The 21,176-nt window shown below is 37.5% G+C and overlaps 1 long non-coding RNA gene across 1 annotated transcript, besides 1 other annotated feature; it reads right to left on the bottom strand.

Annotated features, from left to right (window-relative positions):
- Window positions 6,137-6,888: an enhancer, noted in NCBI's record as "OCT4-NANOG hESC enhancer chr8:69755751-69756502 (GRCh37/hg19 assembly coordinates)". NCBI's record gives its function as "activates a minimal SCP1, AML or CMV promoter by ChIP-STARR-seq in primed H9 embryonic stem cells {active_cell/tissue: H9 hESC(primed)}" and the evidence as "EXISTENCE:reporter gene assay evidence [ECO:0000049][PMID:30033119]".
- Window positions 11,358-20,740, bottom strand: LOC107986951 (uncharacterized). Its single transcript, XR_001745953.2, has 4 exons — window positions 20,659-20,740; window positions 15,322-15,398; window positions 12,572-12,666; window positions 11,358-11,719 (listed from the first exon to the last, which is right to left on the bottom strand). It is a non-coding gene; the product is annotated as an uncharacterized LOC107986951 (long non-coding RNA).
- Between the last annotated feature and the right edge of the window lie 436 nt (window positions 20,741-21,176).

The raw sequence follows: 21,176 nt of genomic DNA on the forward strand, positions 1-21,176 counted from the left end.
GACCTTAGTTAATAGTAATGTATGAATATTGGTTCATTAATTATAGAAAATGTCTCATATGAATGTAAGATGTTAATGATAGGGGAAATTGGATGCAGGGTATTAAAAAGTCTATACTCTCTTTTTAATTTTCTGTAAATCTAAAACGGTTCTTTACAAGTCTACTAAAAAAGGAAAACAATAGCACAAAGCATGGAAAAAGAGAAGGAATGCATATAATTTTAAGGTTCTTATATGTGAGTGATATAAAATAACTTGAATATATGCAGTGGTCAGTTACAGATGTATACTATAAATCCAAAATGACCCACTAAAATAAAAGACTTACAATTAATCAATCAATCAAGGAGAGCAAATGTAATCATTAAAAGAAAAAGTCAAACGCTAATAAGGCACAACGAGAGGAATACATGGACAACACATTGACAATAGGTCACAAAATAGCAAGATGGTACATTTGAAATAAATCATATTGAAATTACGTTAAACGTAGATGTCTCAACAACTGATTTAAAAGGGCTAGATTGCAGATTAGGCAAAAAGCCAAGCTCCGAGTACATGCTCCTTACAAGAGAATCTTTAAAATACAAAGATGATAAGTTACAAGTAAAAGTTGGAAAAAGATCTGTTATGCTGACCCTAAATTTAACAAATGCCAGGATGGTAATATTCATATCAGATAAAGTAGCTTCCAGAAGAAAGAAAATTACCAATGGTGAAAAGGATCCTTTCATAATGACAAAGCAGTCAGTTCATCAAGAGGATATAACAATGCTAAAATGTTTATGGACTTAGTAACAGAGCTTCAAAACATATTAAGAAAAAAGAAGAAAACTTTCAGTCAATAATTTTTGGCTACTTTTTCAGCCTTGTCTATTTTCTCCTCTCCTTTTGAATTCTGATGGTATGAACATAAAAATTTTCATTATAGTACTATATGTCCTGGAGGTGCTGTTCAATATCTTTTCCATTTTCTCTCTTTGTTTAGAGTGGGCAATTTCCGTTCTATTTTCCAGTTCACTGATTCTTTTTCTTTGGTTCCCTCCATTCCACTTTTGAGCCCATTCACTGAGCTTTTAAATTTGGTTATTGTGTTTTCTGATCCTAAAATTTCTATTTTACTGAGCCTTAAAGTATAGAGAAAAAATTACACTATTCTCATTTCAAATTCACACACAATACTTGACAAGACTTACAGAGTCAGCAACTTTGAGGTTGAATCCTAGTGATCCAACCCAGGTGATTCTGATGTATGCTAAGGTTTGAATCCATTCTTCTGCAAAAATTGATACAAATACCTTCTTCCATGCTTCTTCCTACTCCTCCCAACACAGACATAAACACACACACACTCTCTCTCACACATACACAGAGAGAGAGAGAGAGAGAGAGAGAGAGACTTGTCATGGCTTCTACTAAACCTTAAGTAAGTCCATTTAATAGCCAACCAGCAGAGACCTTGCAGGAACTAGGACACAGGATACAGCTAGAGGAAGCTTCCTATGGAAACAAAAGCTGGTCTGCCTCATATATAATATGATCAAATATTATATTGACAAATAGGAAAGCTTAATTCTTTGCTCACCTGCATTATTAGTAGTGCTACAATATTATTAACAACATTGGCATTTTGAAGGGTTGAATAAAAATCACCTCTTCCCTTGGCTGCTTCCTGCTCCCAGGTTCTGTTTAATGTGAGAAATATGACAACAGCATGAGAACATGGAGCACCAAAATCAAGTATAAAAGAGACCTAGCCCAGAGTGAGAATGAAAGTGAAAATATGCTTGTTCCTCCCCTCCCCTCCCATATAGACCTTGGAACTGCCCACCTGAGTGAAAATTCCAGTACACAGAGCAGACCCACTTACCTAGGTCTCCGCCTCCCATTGGTCTTTGTGAGAAAGAAGAAGAAAAAGATCCAATCCCTCTGTTGGGGATCGTTGCTGGATCAGCCCTTCCCAGGTGAAGAACATAAAGCAGTGGCTATTGCTCTCTAAATAGGGAATAGCACTTCACACTACGGGCAGGGGACAAGGGCGTGGCAAAGGACTCAGAGTGATTAGGGAACATGAGCCTTATGGAAACCAAAGGACCCTGGAAAGTAGTAATAGTCGTTGCTGACATTCATTAATAGCTTACTATGAGTAAGTTACTCTTTTTTGTGCTTTATATATATATTTACTTTTTAATTTTAATTCTAATTTTTTTAGATACAGTCTCACTCTGTCATCCAGGCTGGAGTACAGTGGCACAATCTCAGCAACCTCCTCGTCTCGGGTTCAAGGGATTCTCCCACCTCAGGCTCCTGAGTAGCTGGGATTACAGGCATGTGTCACCACGCCAGGCTAATTTTCATATTTTTAGTAGAGATAGGTTTCGCCACGTTGCCTGGGCTGTTCTCAAACTCCTGGCTTCAAATGATCTGCCCGCCTGAGCCTCCCAAAGTGCTGGGATTATAGGCATGAGCCCCCGCACCCAGCCCTATATTTGCTTTTTAAATACTTATTTAAAAATCTATTGGGTGAATGTGTCATTAAATCCATTTTGCAGATGGGGAGACTGAAAATAGGAAGTTAGAAATAGTTCCTGCACAAGGTTGGAAGTGGAACTACTGAAGAAATTCCAACAGTCTCAACTTTTACAGCAAGTTGAATGATATAAATTACCTTATATAAATCATGGAAACAAAGTAAAAGTTTCTTATTAACGGCAAGTGCCAATTTGAAAAATCTGCAGAAAATGAAATTAATACTTTGATTCAATGTGGAATAAACTTTTACTTTGTTGAGAGTATTTTATGAATTTTTGGATGTTCTTTTGTCTTCCTTCTTCATGGCAAAAATTAATTTATTAATTATAGGTATAAATATTCTCAAGTATCATTTCTGTTGTCAAACCCATAAGAAATTTGTGAAAAGACTAGAAAACCTTTGAGGAAAGGGTCTTCGTACTCACTTTTCTATTCCCAGTGTCCAGAATATACTTCATAATGTTTGTTGAAACGATAAGAAATATTTTCTAAAAATTAGAGCTTTTTAGGGAGTTCATCTCCACAGGTAGCCCCCAAAATAATTGTTTTCTCTGTTGAGGCTAATCTAGCTGCTACCTACTTAAGATTTCAGCTGGAATCAATGCAGGTCCTTCTGTTATAATTGATTGAACACCATGTCTGAGGCCTCAGACTTGCCTAACCTTCAATTCCCCTTATTGCCCTAGTTTTATTGCTGCTAGAACAACTCTCTCTATGTGTCCCCCCACTGAGAGTGCTCTCACATAATTTAGCTCTCCCTTCCCAGAACTACGAGTGCTGAAAACTGGAAATAATCTTGTCTGGGGCATGTGAATATATGTGGCTCATGAGAAATCAACTGAGCTGGGAATATCCACTCAGGCTGTAACTTTAAATCCACTGTGTGCTAAGAAAAACAAGCCTTCTTGGTAGGGTGAAGGCGCATTTGCTAACACAGCCATTATTTCCCCAAATTTCTGACTCCTATCCAAGTAAACCCACTCTCTTCTGATATATGATATTGTCCTAAGAAATTTGCAACATTACAATCTGGTACATCTCTAAGTGTCTTTAGGGTATTCTTTGTCTCTCTGTCTATTTCTTGGCTTTTTCCTAGAAGTCAGACGGATATAAATACTCAAAGCAGAACTCCTTGGGAAAGCTTTCCATGACCAGACTTGTGGGAAAGTTTAGGGCCAAGCACTATTAAAGAAATGATAATTCTCCTCATACACCCTTTGAAGGATGCAATCCCAAAGGAATAGGATTTGTATCCTAACCCTCCTAAACCACATTTCTAGCTCTAGTTCCAGAAAAAGCAGAATCAATCTCTCTCTCTTTCTCTGTGTGTGTGTGTGTGTTGCACACACACACTCATAATAAGCTATTAATGAATGTCAGCAATGACTATTACTGCTTTCCAGGATCCTTTGGTTTCCATAAGGCTCATGTTCCCTAATCACTCTGAGCCCTTTGCCACGCCCTTGTCCCCTGCCCGTGTGTGTGTGTGTGTGTGTGTGCGCGCGCGCGCGCGTGTGTTTCTGGTCCTCCAGTAAGCAAAATTCCTTCGGCATAGAACCTCTCCGCGTAGGTTTTACTCACTGCTATCCAAAGAAACCTTATACAGGTACAGCCTTGTTTGTGACTATGTAGCTATAGAGGAGGAAAAACATCTTTTCCTTCTACTCATCTTAACGTGCATTGGCTGGTACTCCTGTAACAAAAGAGATTAACAAGAGAAAAGCATGCACATTTATTTAAGTTTTATGTGACATGGGAGTTTTCATAAGGAAATGAAGACGCAAAGAAACAGTTTAACCTGAGAGTTTTTATTCTAGGTTTAATGAAAAGTGGAAAGTTATGGGAAAATGTGATAGCATAAAGGGTATGAGTAAACTGGGGAAAACTGAGCAAAATCCCTTCATTCAGTTCTTGTCTGTGTCCCTGTGTCTTCAGAGAGAAGGCTGCTCCTTTCATCTGGGTATAGGGAGGGCACCTTTCACATGAGGTTGTTATGATCTGCTTCATGGGAAGGTCAGAAGACACTTCCCACTCATGATATTTCTCAAATTCCTTCCACCTAAAATATTACATATGCCACTGTGTCATATTTTGGGGGTAGCGTGTCCTGAACTCATCACAGCTTATCTCTGAAATATCCTGTGTTGTGTTTCTAAAAGTTAAGCTGTGTGGGCATCTGGAAGAAAATTTTACATGAGATTCATTGGCCATAATGCCAGATTAAAGATTTCTTCTTAGATTGGTAAATTTAAATATTGCTTGGCTTTGCATCCTCACATTCACTCTTCTAACTACGCTATTATGATGAATTTTCTTTAATCCCAAGTAGGAAAATGAAAATTTTTTCCCAAGAACTTAATCATGGAAAACTTACAGATGCACATTCTAAATATGCATTTTGATCATACAAATAATTTCATCTCATCTCCTTTAGTGTCTTAAAAAGGTAACCTGTCTGCTTCCTGCTCAAGCACAAAACTTACAGATTAAAAGACAAAAGAAATGCTAAAGCTGGCCTGGTCTCTTACAGGTCTGCTTTAAAAGGCTAGAGAAAAAGAGCAATGGGTAATACAAGAAACCTGGGATTTAGAAACCGTCAGGTGGCTGCAACTGTTAACTTTACACCAACCTTCCAAAAATTCTAAGGAGAATTTTTGCTCCTTAGTTCAGCTAAATCCAGGTTCTTATATCAAGAACTGGAAAATTTAGGCACGTGGACACATTGAAGGGTGTGGGGAACAGAATTTACTGGGCAAAAAGGAAAAAAAGAAAAAAACTCTCAAGAAAGCGAGAGGGGATCCTGCCAATAGGCCCCCACCTCACAGATTGATTCCAGGCCACGCACAGGAAAACTGAAGAGACCAGACTCCTCCCCATTGAACAAGGCGCAACTTTCTGTGGCTCGACCCCGTTTCCCCGGTGCGCATGTGGGCCTTATTCTGAAAGAATCGGCTGGGAAAGGGCGGGCAAACAGGGGCAGTTCTCCCTCTGGGTTGTGGGTTTCATCCAGGACCAGCAGCTGGTTTTTCAGCCTGCAGGGCGTTTTAGGCTTGAAGGCAGGGTTTCTCCGGGGACCCTTGGCTGTCTCCTGTTTCTATCAGTGGCATAGTTGCTAACTCCAGTTCTACCAGCAAACTGTCTGCAGGAATACAACCAGAAATGTTATACCTGACCCTTCTCTTTTCTCGCCTGTAGATAATTGGTCAGAACATTTTAATTACCTCTGTAAGATAGCGTTTTTCTTCCCATTCACACCCTCAGTCCAAGCCTGTTTCGGCAGCCCATTTTCTGATCACTGCTTCCCACTGGTGCTGGGTCAAATCTTCTTTCATGGAATTGGCAGTAATTTTCCCCAAACATAATAAAACTAACCGTGTGACTTCACTGACCAATAAAAGCTTTTAGTAACCTGTAGTCAATGCATGTTTTGCACCTTAATTTGAGGAGCTTGCATATCTCCGGAGACAAAGTGAGTGTACCCAGAGAGTCTGGCTAAGAGCCTGGGATGACTTTGTGGAATGTCAGTTCAGCCAAAATTCAAAACCAATATATACTTCTTTCCTCTCATGTACTAAGCACAATAAATTTTACTCAATAAGTTGTAATCTCATAGATTGTTATATTAAAAACCAAGCGAAATTTTAAGATAAAACATGATTGCAGATAAATTTGACATTTTTCATTGAGAAGCTGCAGGCTACACTCTCAAGACTCTCTCAAAGCCATCAAGCACTGATGTATACTTCCTCCTCTAGGAGGCGTACTTTGGGAAATCATAAACTCAAATTCCACCACTGGGACCTCAGTTCTTCCAAACACGACTCTAAATTAGCATTCCATTGTCATCCAACAGCTTTGCTCTGTTTTTTCAGATGCCCCAGAACCTTTCAAATGTTAAGTCCCCATAGATATTCTTTACTTAATGCACATTCATTCAACATTCATTTAAATACCACTTCTGTGGGGACTACCTTTGACTCCCTCAGTCAAATTGGATGCTTGCCTTTTGTGTGACAGAAAAAAACTTCATCACAATTTCTCTGCAAATGCATGTCAGAAAAATTGTGACAGATTCGAAATGAGGGAGGGGGAGATCGCTGGCAGCCTTTATAGTGTACCCATCTGCAATCTCTGTGCTTGTCATTGTTTTTGAAGGATTTAAAACTCATAATAATGTGAATGATTCTTTTCAGTTGAAATACAAACAAATTGGGTCCTTGTGGAATGCAGTTGGTTATTGTCCTGTAGATAGATCACTTCTGTCTTTATTTAAAATTTTGTTTTAGCATTCCTTATTCCCTACATTTGTGTCATTAAAAAGAACTACTCTGAACTGGTTCTAACATTTGATTCCATTATTAATTAATGAATTTAATAGAATCTTCATGTGTTTTATATTTTTTGAGAAGAATGCTTTTACCCTTAAAAAATGTTATCTTTTAACACCCTTATAACCTTAGTATCATTACTATCTATTCTGCTCAATTGCAGTTTCCTGGAGGGGTTGACATAATAATGTTGGGCTCAGAAATTGTTACCCCAAAATATGATGTTTTGACATGCTAAGCTGAAGAAGCTTCAAGGTCTCTCTGACCTAATCTCCACATGATCTCACCCAAAGAAGCTGAAGTTCCTTTATCTGCCTAAAATCCAGACCCACCAAGGAGAATAATTTGTCTTTTTCTTTCCCTCCCCATTATCTCATTATCTACTGCAGAAAAGAAGCTGTGACCATACCTGCACAGACCTTTTTATGAGGATAATTACTGTCTCTACAGATCAGTTAATCTCTGTTCCCCAATCCAGTCATTCTCCCTTGCAATCATTTATTGCCCATCAGTAAAATTCCTCTTCCCCCTCCACCGTTCCCATAACCTGTTTTACCAGGATGCGAGCCCCCATTCTTTTGTAACCTCAAGTTTCTGTAACTCATGAAGAAGTTGGGTCTTCATTCTGAAGGCTCCTGTGTATACATGCTAAATAGATTTACATGCCTTTTCCCCTATTAATTTATCTGCTTCATGTCAGTGATTTTTTTTTCAGTGAAACTTCAAGGGACCAAGAGCCTATGGCCACCACAGTATAGTGCAGTGAGCAGGGTAATCAAAGCTGCTCTTCTCTTCTATAAGCTGCAGTAAAGAGAACCCAGGAACCTGACCTGCCAGCAAAGGGATAAGAATTTCTTACCAGCCAGTCTCCTGACCTCTCTCTCTCTTTGCATTCCAGTTGAGTGGATGGGAAAAAATCATTGTTTGTCTCATCTGCAATGATTTTATTAATGAGAAAAAAGGATTTGTGTGATGAGTCTTGGGTTATAGTGACTCCAGTGTACTTTCAGTACTGTGAGGTATGAATATTCACATTCTTCGACCCCCCCTTTCCTCTCAGAAATAGGTGATTTGTTGTTGTTGTTGTTGTTGCCATTTTCCTTTGTCTTTGTCTTTCTGTGTTGTTCTGTCGTGAAGATGGGTACCATAGTGTAGAACATAGGCCTAGAACCCCTATAAGCCCATTGTTTCAGCCAGCCCTGAAGATTGGCTGGTTTGGTGGTTCTGGCTAGATGGGTGTCTATTAAAACAAACTTTGCTATGGGTCCCTGTAATACAGATGAGGTTTTCCTTTTATCCTGTCTTATGTCCTTGAGAGCATGACTGACTAAGTGGGGGTCCTCTCTTAGTCTCCATCATCCAAAGGGTGTGATTTTTCAGGTTCACATTAGGCAGCCAGTCTGAAAGATTGCAAACCGAGGCATGTAATATTTTAAGCAGCACACTCTTCATTCTGAATGTATGAAGCTTTTAGGTGAGTTTTGTCTTAAAAAGTCCCAACCCTATGGGGTTTTTGTCATCTTTGCTATGTTGAGTCTATTTCCGAGAATGAATTTGTGGAGATCATGGGGATCGCCTCCTCTACACCCTCTCCGGGAACAACTGTTGCTTACATGGTAAAAACCTGGAAAATTACCACCTGGGCTTTACATGAAGAGGCTTTTGGATAAAGTCACTATTGGAATTAAGTATGTCATTGAAAATTCTAATTGTCAGTGGCCAAAAGATAAATTTTAAAAGATTTTAGAGATTTTTTTTAATTGGAAAGAATTAATGGGAAAATACATTTTAAAAGGACACATAATGGTGTCACAGTTAGCCTTGAGAATTCTCTGACTAAATTAAAAGAGAAAAAAAAATCTGACCTAAAACAAAGTTAAAATCCTTTGCAAATTGAAACTGTCTGCTCTGGATTTCTTCTGGGAAGAACAATAAAGACCACCTCATGTTGTAACCTAGTAGCCAAGGTCTGCCCTTTTACCACAGCAGCCTGGATTAAACTTCTGGCAAGGGACTTAGTGCTTTCTGGATTGACGTTTGTGTTACCTTCCCAAAATTTATTGATTATTTTCCCTTCCATGGACAGATTTTGATTTCCTGTCTTTCATCTGTGGGGGCATATGAGGCATTTTGGCTTCTGTATGTAGAAAATGAGCTGAGCAGCTGAGACTCCAGAGACTGGCCAAACAGAAATGTGAGTCACACTCCATTTATGGCTACCAAAATTTTCCTTTCTTTGAGCTATCTTTGGGGTAATTTTATATCTTGTAAAAAGTGTTTGCCACCTCTTTGAAGACACCTTATGCTTAAGTTATAACCTCGATTATGGTACTTGGGAGGATGTCATTGGTTAAAAAAAAAAATGTTTAAAAGCCAGAAATATCAGCTGTTTATCCTCACTAAAATCTGGTAATAAAAAATTCAAAAGGATTTTTCTTACTTGGACTCAATGGAATTGCTACTACCTTTTTCCTGAGGCCCTATAAGCTAAAGCTTAAACTTTTTGAAACAGGCAAAAAAAATCTTGTCAGATTGCCATTGCTGGCTTCCTCTTTAACTGGGCTTTGAGTCTAACATCTGGACACCTCAACTGACTGCCCTGCAGACTGTAAGGAAACTGGTTTATAGACTGTTTCCAAAATTAACCTGTTTTTCTTCTGTTTGAAAGCCCATCTGCAATGCTATCTCCTAAAATGAAAGAGGTGTTTAATTGACCTATTCACAGATTGGTTAAATAGAATTATTTGCCATTCATATTTTAGCTTAACTTTTCTCTTCCACAGCCACTAACTCAGCTTTTAGTTTGTGAAACTCCTAGGGAAGTTTCAGATGGGAGAATGTTGGGGCTCAGAAATTCATATACCAAAATATGGCATTTTGACATGCTGAGCTGAAGAAGCCTGAAGATCTCTTTGGCCTCTCACCACCACTGTCTCTCCCAAATAAACTGAAGTTCCTTTATCTGCTTAGGATCCAGACCTACCAATGAGAACTATTGTGTTTTCTTCCCATCTCTGTTATCTCATTATCTATTGCAGAAAAGAAGGCCAAGATGTGACCAATACCTGAACAGACCTTTTAATAAGAACAATGATTGTCTCCAAGGATCATTTAAATTTCAAAGAAAACTATTTACAAAGTTAATCTCTGTTCCCTGATCCAATCATTCTCCTTCACAGTCATTTATTGCCCCTCAATAGAATTTCTCTTCTCCTTCTTCCTATATCCTGTCTTACCAGGATGCAAGCCCCCATTCGTTCTGCAAACTCAAGATGGTATATAAGTTTCTGTAACTCATGGAGAAGCTGGGTCTTCATTTTGAATGCTCCTGTGTATACATGTTAAATAAATCTATATGCCTTTTCTCCTCTTAATTAATCTGCATCATGTCCATGATTTTTCAGCAAAACTTTAGCAGGGCCTATGGCTCCCAAGGTAAGTATTGAAAAAAATGTGAAATACAAAATGTAAATGTGCTGTTTTGTACTTTTGGATGTGGCCTGAAATAAGGAAAGTCAGTAAACTAAGTGATTTCTTATACTTTCAAAAGTATAGACCTCTTTTGAAAATTTGTTGTAAGTTTGAAACTTCTTACCAGAAAAGTGCACGTATGTGCAGACGAACACAATGTGATGCATATGATTTTAGCAATTGAATGGCATTTCCAAGTTCATTCAAGCCCTATCCCCATACTCCTGTTAAAAACTGCTTTAAATGCTGTGAGTTTTGCAAGCTCTATAAAGTAAACCACATTTTGAATCCCTCATCCTCACTTTTATCTCTTTAGCTAAGAAAAACAATTTAACAAAAATAAAACAGCAGCTTTTGTTTCACTGAAAATCATTGTGTTGTAGGAGTTATTAAGAAATTATTTTAGGCAGATAGAAAAGAAAAGGGATCCTTGGGAAGTTTTCATTTTTAAAGCAGCTCCAGAATTGGAATGCCCTGGCTCTTAGAGCGGCTGGCAACCTTTGATAGGCAAATGCAAGCCATTAGAAACTGCGTCTACCCAAACATGGTGATTCCCGTGGCCTTCTTGCCCTTGCCCCACATGTTCCTGGCAACATGGCCGCTCCCACATATACCCACCATTTGTAGAACATCGTGGCGCCCTGCATTTGCATATTAAATGCTAGGGTGGGAGGGCCAGCTTTTTCAGGCCCCGTGAATTACAGGCCTGGTCAAACCAATCCCCTGAGCCCTATGCAAATCAGACACCACCTCCTCCAGCCTCTACATATACCTGGCTGGTATCCACTGCACTTGGGATTTCCTCTTTTGGCTTTGGAGGCCCCCTCCCTCTGTCTTTGTATCGGGGAGCCTTTTCCTTCTGCCTTCTCTTTTCTTCTTGCCTATTAAACTGTCTGCTCCTTAAAACCACTCCACGTATGTCTGTGTTGTTTTATCTAAACTGGCATGAAGACCAAGAACCCTGGTGTTCCTCCACTCATCGGAGCCATATCACTGGGGTTATAGTAGGAATGGTAACAAACATAATTTTCTGTTTTTAGCAGAGAAACTTTTTAATATTCTTATTTTCAGTCAGTTCTTTTACCATTGCTTAACACGAAAAGAATAATTACGGCCGGGCACAGTGGCTCACGCCTGTAATCCCAGCACTTTGGGAGGCCGAGGCAGGCAGATCACGAGGTCAGGAAATCGAGACCATCCTGGCTAACACAGTGAAACCCCATCTCTACTAAAAATACAAAAAAATTTAGCTGGGCGTGGTGGTGGGCGCCTGTAGTCCCAGCTACTTGGGAGGCTGAGGCAGGAGAATGGCGTGAACCCGGGAGGTGGAGCTTGCAGTGAGCCAAGATCGTGCCACTGCACTGCAGCCTGGGTGATGGAGCAAGACTCTGTCTCAAAAAAAAAAAAAAAAGAGAGAATAAATACAAATCAAGTACATGGATAAACACGGTACATGACAGATGACAGATTATGGATATAAAACGATACAAAGAGCTACAGCTTTTGGCAAAGAATAAAATGCCCCAGATAGAAGGGACTAGAGACATTTTTCTAAAGTATCTTTCTTTTTAATTTAATTAATTAATTAATTTTTTTTTTTTTTTGAGACAGGATTTCACTGTCACCGAGGCTGGAGTGCAGTGGCTCAATCATGGTTCACTGCAGCTTCAATCTTGCAGACTCAAGTGATCCTCCCACCTCAGCCACCCAAGTACCTGGAACCACAGGCTTGCACCACCATGCCTAGCTAATTTTGTATTTTACTTTTGTAGAAACAGAATATCCCTATGTTTCCCAGGCTGGGCAAACTCCTAGGCTCAAGAAATTCTCCCACCTTGGCCTCCCAAAGTGTTGGGATTACAGGCATGAGCCTGCATCCAGCCAAAAAGTCTCATTTTTATAAGTAGTAACATATTAGGGTTTCTATGTACACTGCTGTGGAAAATTATATAATCTATCAAAGAAGAAAATAAAAGTCTAATCTCCTAGCTAACTTAGAATACAGGCTCTCTTCGATGTTTTTACCTCATCATGATATTCTTACCTATAGAAATGAATATGTAGTGTTCTAGCAATAGTCTTAACCAACACAATTGAATAGTAACTGAGAGTCTTGATTATTTTCCTTATTTTCAAAGAGAACACTAGGTATTTTGGTAGAGTACAATAAACAACGTCCATTCTTTTTAGTTGTGAAGAAATTCTGTAGTGTTAATACATTATTTATTTGGTGGTGTTACCTCATATTTCTTCTGATTGCAAATATTGGATGTTATCCCGACTGTGGCATCATTCTCTGCTCTGGAGTTAACTTTTATGGAATCTGTGGAACTGACTAGAAACAGTTAAAGGTAGGGTGAATACAACAGTTCTTCTTGGGGAAAATCATGTCCAGGACACAAACACCATTAAAGCATTTTAGAAGTCGTTTATTGAATTTACTGCTATGACCCAATTATAAGAACTTCAGCAAAATCTGTAGATTTAGAGTTTATTAAATCATATATTTTAGTAAAACCTACTTTAGTTTTTGTTGCATTTTCTTAAGTTCAAATCTACTACTCACTGAGTTCTGATTAAGTTGCTATGGTCATTATGTGTCTGGAATTTGTGGGTTCTTGGTCTTGCTGACTTCAAGAATGAAGCCACGGACTCTCAAACCGAGTGTTACAGTTCTTAAAGGCAGTGTGTCTGGAGTTGCTCATTCCCTCCGGTGGGTTCATGGTCTCACTGGCCTCAGGAGTGAAGCTGCAGACCTCTGCGGTGAGTGTTACAACTCACAGCTCATAAAGGCAGCCCCACCCAGAGAGTGAGCTGCAGCAAGATTTATAGCAAAAAGCAGAAGAACAAAGCTTCCACAGCGTGGAAGGGGATGCGAGCAGGTTACCCCTGCTGGCTCACCTCTGCTTGCTCACCCCTGCTGACTCAGGCAGTATGCTTTTATTCCCTTGTCTGACTCCACCCACATCCTGCTGATTGGTCCATTTTACAGAGAGCTGATTGGTCCATTTTACAGAGAGCTGATTGGTCCGTTTTACAGAGAGCTGATTGGTCCGTTTACAATCCTTTACCTAGCCGCAAAAGTTCTCCAAGTCCCCAGTAGATTAGCTAGACACAGAGCACTGATTGGTGCATTTACAAACCTTGAGCTAGACACAGTTACGTTTACAAACCTTGAGCTAGACACAGAGTGCTGATCGGTGCATTTACAAATCTTGAGCTTGACACAAAGTGCTGATTGGTGCAATTACAATTGCTATATTCGATGACAGAGTATGGAATTAAACCCTGTTGATGCCTCAGTGTCTTCTAACATCTAGGGAGTAAATGAAAGAATCATTTCTTCCTAGATTGTTTGCTATATATATTATACTAAAATATTAAAAAGTCAGTAGTACTTCTATTAATTTATATAACTGATTAACCTATTAGAAATTTCATTTTTATCCTCCTTTGCAATGTCGTTGAGTTCAGGCAAAATTAGTGAGATTTTTTTCCCAGTCTTGGAGGAAGGGGAGGAAGATTTTGCATTTTTTTTTTACATGCCTAGGATATCAGAGATACTCAAAGAGGAAATCAGCTTATCCTCCAAGTATGGATCAGAGGTTAGTTTTTAATAAAAGGCTTCATGACACAGATATTCTGCTGGTAATTTATTCTTTTTTCTTTTTCTGCCCACATTCATTATTCCTTTTATCCGTCCTCATCCACTTGTTTTGGAGATTGCCTTCCAGGTTCTCCTCTTCCCCCAGTTAATTAATTGTTGCAGTAGCCACAGTGATATAGTCCTATTAGTTGAGTAACCAGCAAACTAATTGCATTAGCTACTTGTGGCATTATAATAGTTGAATGATTTATCATCATTCTTTCCACTTTGATCTTTAAGTATTTTAGATTTCTAACTTTTGACTTTCTATAATTTTGTTATGTGCTATTCCCAAGTACTTTGTTATTAGCTCTTATCTATATTCTCTTTATACTCATTCCCTTAGCAGTTTCCTCCACTACCATGTTTTTGACTGACACCTTATTAGATGAGTCCAAATACTACATGTTTTGGGCAGAATTTATATGTGAACTCCTAACCCCCAGAATCTCAGAATGCAATTGTATTTGAAGATAAGGTCCTTAAAAAGGTGATTAAGATAAAATGAGATTCTTAGGATTGGATCCTCATCCAATATAAATGGTGTCCTTATAAGAAAATGAAGAAATAGGGTGCATACACACAGAAAAAAGTCCATGAGGCCCAGCAAGAAGGAGGCTATCTAGAGGCCAAGGAGAAAGGCTTCAGGAAGAAACAAAACCTGCTGACATCCTAATCTTGCACTTCCAGTCTTCAGAACTGTGAAAAAATAAATTTCTGTTGTTTAAGCTACCCAGTCTGTGGTATTTTGTTTTAGAAGCTCTGCAAACTAATACAGTGTTTTATTTCAGGAAATCTTCTGAGTATCTCAAATACCTCCTAGTGCAATTCCAGATAATTTCTATATTTTTGGTATTGGTTTTATCATTATCTTCTCCCCAGTTGAGTTTGAACTTTCTGAGCAAGTCTTCTGATACCAACTGGTATACTGTAATACAATTCTAATATTAATCACCTGGAGTCAGCACCAGACCCACAGGTTAAAGGTCATGGACCCTCAACAAGGCTGTCCTTACTGCAAACACCAGCCACACTTCAGGGCCCACATACCACCCACATGTCTTTCCAACTGGCTGCAAATTAAGAGGTTCCCATGACTTTATCAGGTTGATAACTAACTAAAATGACTGAGACAACATAGGAAAATGCTACACTTAACAGCTACAATTTTATTATGAATGACATGAATCAAAATTGCCAAATGAAGAGACACATATCCAAAGAGTTTGGGAAAAGTGTCTATTGTTCATGGTTAGGCTCCAGGAAGAATAGACAGACATGGAGAAATGTGATCAGACAAAAAGGGAATAATCTAATAGTAATAAACTGAGGGGAGAAACTCACCAAAGGCTGTCTGTTCAGATTCATCTTGGCTTCTCTGTGTAGCATTTCTTCCTCCCGGGTACAGGACAGGACCCTTCCTGGAATGAGGGAAGGTAGGTCAAAAAATGTCTTGATGGCCAGATCTTACACAGAAAGGCAGGGGAAAGTTACAGACGTATTTTTTAGGTTGAGAAAGAGGAATTCTAGTCTCTATGGCTTGCTTTGTGAGGAAACGAGGGGTGGGAGATAGGCAGGCAGGAACAGGTCAGAGAGATACTGCTTCTGAGACTGCTTTTCAGGCCTTCCAATCTCCTTTAGTTCAAAGTACCCAGCATGCCAAAGTGCCAGACTTTGGGGTATTGTTTTCTGAGCCTCAGTAAGTGCCAGGCTCTTGCAGTGTGTCCTGAGTTTCTCATGGCACTTAGCACAGTCCTCACACTTACTGGATGGTGGTTGTTAGATTAAGTCATCTGTAATCGAAAACTGGTAGAAGATTTTTTATGTGAAACATATTAATTTAAACATTAGAACTAAAAAAACCCAAGGATATCTTATTTTCTTAGGGTAATGTTTCTTTTTTTTTCTTTTCTTTGATAGTAGAGATAAGAAGTCACATATTTTCCTGTGAATCCTTTCTTTTAAATACATTACATACCCCTGAGCTATTTACTTTTTAAAAATCTGTTAGATACATGGCTTTATTTCTAATTTTCAAAATAATTATGCAATTTGGAGTGTAGTATGCATTCTTACAGATGAAAAAATAAGATTTTCAGACGTTAAGTAAACTTTCCCAGGTTGCTCAATAAGTGAGTGACAGTGCCAGATCTCAAATGCAGGTCCATCTGACCCCAAAACCTGTCCCATTTCCAACACTCATTATATTGCCTCTTGGCGAAATTCCTACATACTTCTGTATAACACATGTAAAGGAAATAGCCTTTAGGCTAAAGGCTCAGTTAAACCTCTAAAAACAAACCAGTAAGGGGAGTGAGTGACAAAATAAAAACAGCAATGTGGTAATGCTTCCCAGGGCTCGCAGTGATATTGTGTAGACATGGAGTGATTAAATACCTGAATCCTATAAGAAAGGCTGAATTCACTCAGGGAACACAGAACTAATGTCTTGGGCATAGTCTTGGCTGAAGGCCAAGTCGCATTTACTTTCACACAATGGATATATTGATTGAAAACCATCTCTGAGTTGGAAGCACTGAGTTTAGTTACAAATGTGTAGGAGGGAGGCTTGCTGTCTTACGATGATGATTATGATTGGGGTAAATAGCATTAGTATTGGTAACATTTCAAGCAAGGAGGCTGAGGTTTGTCAATGCTATGAAAGTTAATGCAACTATGTCTATCTCTCTGATGATAGGTATGTTGAGTCTATCTACTGACATCTAACATTCTTTTTGAGCAGTGTTAGAGAAGCAGTACGATATAGCATGTGTACTTCACAATAAAGGTCAGTTGTAAATCTTATTTACGGTTATACATGTATGAATGAACAATAGAGAAATGACTTAAAGATGCAGTTTGTGATTGGCACACTCAAAATGTGTGGAAGATAACGCTTGTCAATGGACTTTGTGTACTCTAGGGGGCAGTATAAGGTAGACGCAACTGATTAAGGGCATATAAAAAAGTCAATGTGAAGACTGCCCATATGTGACTTCCTAAACAACTAAGACCGAACTTCTTCTGAGATAGCAACAGTCACCCTGTAGACAAGTAGGCTTTTCCTGACACAGCAAATAAAACTCAGATCCAATTCTAGTAGTCCGAATTCCTCTAAGTAACCCCAGTGGTATTTTCTCCTGGGGTTACACGAGATGTAAAGAGGTTCTCAGGCAAAAGACAAACACATTGGAAACTGCCTCTTCTACTTAACTCAAAATGAAAAGTTTGCATAGTTAGACAAGTAGTACAGTCTGTACCTCTTGACTGTATGTCAAGCTGTCCTGAGAATGTATATTCAACTAATTCTTTCTAGTGAGCAAACAGCAGTGTGTTTACATAAGGCACCATGCAGGTGAAGCTAAGACAAAGCATTTTTATTTCACTTCACAAATATTATCTTTGTCTTGCAATATTTTATTGCAACATTATTACATGCAAAATAGTACTATAGTGATGTGATTTAAATTTATGTACTTAAAATATTCGGTAACAAACTTGAGTTATACTACTCTTGTGCCATTGGATTTATTCTTTTCTATGCTGTATATGCCTTTGTCCTATCTAAATTTCTTCTTAAAATTGCTAGCTAACTCTCAGTTGACTATAGGAAAAAATCTTTGCTTTTAAAATTATAATTATTTTTAGAGAGACATAAAAATCTTATTGGATTTCCAATGTTAAGAATGTGATGTGTAGGTAGTTCTACCATTGGAATATATACCCACAACAGAAACACAAATTATTTAAAGAAGTTTGTAGTATAAATAAAACTGACTTTTCACTTTATAGCCAAGTTAATTTATTAATTTAAAAGCTGATAAACCAGATAATTAAAGTTTGTCTTCTTAATGTCAGAAAGGCAAAGACTACAAGAACCATGGAAATCATATAATCAAGTATTATATTGGCAATGCTGAGAAGAAAGGAAAGAAAGAACTGAAAGGCTGTGGAATATGTTAATTTCTTGTGTCTTCATATTAAGAGTTAGTTGATACTATTCATAGACATAGAAAATTAAATATGTTATAATAAGTTCTAGTTATATTAATAGAAGTAACTGCTAACATTTCTAAAAGCAGAAGGCAAACCTCCTGAATAATAACAAAGGTCATCGTACAAATTCACAAAGCATAAATAAGGAACACATCTAAAACAAAGTGACTAAAAAGAGTGGAAAATTGTTTTTAAAAGGAAAAAACATTTCAAGAATTGAAGAGGAAAGAAACTAGTAGTCATAACATTTAATATTAGATAAGTAGAATTCAGAGTAAAAAGACTGAACAAAACAAGTAGGATTTTTTTTATAATAATAATGGGCAGAATTTATGCAGATCGTCCAAATTTCATTAGTATCTAAGATATAAATTATCTAAAATATAAATATGTAAAACAGAGAGAGAGAGACACAGATAGGGAGGTGGAGGCAGAGAGACAGATAAATAGACTGAACATATGAAGAGCAGAAGACTTTTGCTTCTTAATTTTGACAAGTCAAGTGAAGAACGAATGAAGATAGAGAAGACCTAAGTAATATGTTAGATTTTAAAATTAAATATAATTACATATAATATATATCATTTTATAATTTAGAATGTACCTTCTTCTCAAATTTTCAAGGACTATTAACACATATCAAACAAATATTAGGCCACCAAGGAGATCTCAGTAAATTCTAAAGATTTATGGCACTGTAAATATAATCTGATAATAATTCAAATATCTGCATACTAATAAAAAAGCAAGAAAAAACCTCTAATAAATAAAGAACTCATAACAAAGATATAAAGAAGATAGAAATGGCATAAAAATAAATCAGAGCTGTGGCTGCACTGTAAGCAGTGTTGAGAGAAAAGCCCTAAGTAATTATATTAACAAATAAGATTAAAAATTAACAGATCATGCATACAACTAAAAACATTTGAAACAAGATGAAAAATAAAAACAAGAGAAAATAAGTTAAAAAAGTAAAAACAGACATTAATAAATAAGAAAACTGAAAAATGGTAGAACTAATACAACTAAGAGTCATCTTTTTGAAAAATAATTATCCATATAGTAAAAAAATTATTAGCAAATATAATTATGAAAAGGGGGAAATATAAAAGTAAAAAATGAGAATGGGAAAATAGCCACAGACACAGAAGAATAAAAGGAATTATGAATGAAAACTTTGCTCAACTCAAAAAAATAAATTTGAAAATCATAAAATAGATGATTTTCTAGGAAAAAGTAACAAATTGAAACTGACACAAAAGGACCAATTTCCAAACAGGAAATAATGTTACAAGGTACCCACTTGCCTCCCCTAAGGCATTAGAACCAGAGAGTTAGCTCAGAAACTTACATAAAACTTTTAAAGAACAGAAAAAAGACAGCCTTATAAACTGTTGTAGAACATGGACAAAAAAAGACAATTTCTGGTTCTTCTTTTTGAAACCAGTGCAATGTTGATCCCCAAATTTTTAAAAAGTAGCACATGGGAAATATTTGTCAATATTAAGTTAAAATTTTAAAATATAAGCAAAGAGAATAGCACCTGACCAAGAGAAAGCCATAAAAAGATTTTATGGCCAGGTGCAGTGGCTCACGCCTGTAATCCCAGCACTTTGGGAGGCCGAGGCGGGCAGATCACCTGAGGTCGGGAGTTCAAGATCAGCCTGACCAACATAGAGAAACCCCGTCTCTGCTAAAAATACAAAATTATCCGGGTGTGGTGGAGCCTGCCTGTAATCCCAGCTACTTGCTACCCGGGAGGCTGAGGCAGGAGAATTGCTTGAACCTGGGAGGCAGAGGTTGCGGTGAGCTGAGATCGCGCCATTGCACTCCAGCCCAGGCAACAAGAGTGAAACTCCGCCTAAAAAAAAAAAAGATTTTTACTACGACTCAATATTAAAAAATCTATTAATATCATGATCTCCAAAGATACTGAAAGGCATTTTTTCCATTAAAAAATGTATATATATTTTTAAATGTCTCTAAGTAAAATAGGAATAGAAGCAAACTAATATGACAAAATATATGCTTTACATATAACTACTTTAAAATAATGAAATATATACTTTAACTCAACCCGAAGACATTGGAAGCCTTTCCATGATAACCAAAAATCAAATAAGAATTTCATTATCATTACTATTATGTAACGTTGTTTTGGAAATAGTAAGTGATATATCTGACAAGAGAGAAAAGGAGGAAAAACCCAAGAGAAAGTAAGAAATATCACTGCCAATAATATGACGCAATACCTAGAAAACATCAAATCTTAAACCTTATTAAAATCGGTGAATTCAATAAGGTTTTTGAACTTGATTGAATTAAAATTAACATATATAAATCAAGTTTTTTTTATGTCTTAATAACATCCAGTAGCAAAGACAATGGAAGAAAAATCTCATTCTTAATAGCAACTTAGTGTATAAATTATCTGGAAATATGCTGAAGAAGAAATAAGCAATATCTACATCATTTTTAAACCTTTCCAAATCCTTTAAATGTACCCAATTTACACAAAAGAAGATTAAATGTATAGCGCATGTTGTCACTTATATGTGGGAGCTAAGAAAGTGTATCTCATGAAGACAGAGTAGATTGGTGGTTACCAGGTTATTAGTCCATTTTCATGCTGCTGATAAAGACATACCTGAGACTGAGAAGAAAAAGAGGTTTAATTGGACTTACAGTTCCACTTGGCTGGGGAGGTCTCAAAATCATGGTGGGAGGTGAAAGGTTTTCTTACATAGCAGAGGCAAGAGAAAATGAGGAAGAAGCAAAAGCAGAAACCCCTGATAAACCCATCAGATGTTGTGAGACTTACTCACTATCACGAGAATAGCACAGGGAAGACCAGCCCCCATGATTCAATTACCTCCCCCTGGGTGCCTCCCATAACATGTGGGAATTCCGGGAGATACAATTCAAGTTGATATTTGAATGGGGACACAACCAAACCATATCACCAGGGTAGGGGGAGAAGATTGATTCATGAGTATAAAAATATAGTTTGATAAATATAGAGTGAAGCATACCCTGTTTTAAAACAGTAAAAATCAAAATTACAAAGAAGTAGTTTTTCTCTAAATCTATCTATAAATATCAATAAAAATAAAAGCTGCTATATCAATAAGAATGAAGGGTGTTATATATTTGTAGTGTGTGTTTTAAACCCTCCAAGGTGGTGCTAAAGATCATGTAGAAAA

This window comes from Homo sapiens, chromosome 8 (genome assembly GCF_000001405.40).
Source record: "Homo sapiens chromosome 8, GRCh38.p14 Primary Assembly".
NCBI classification, from domain to species: domain Eukaryota; kingdom Metazoa; phylum Chordata; class Mammalia; order Primates; family Hominidae; genus Homo; species Homo sapiens.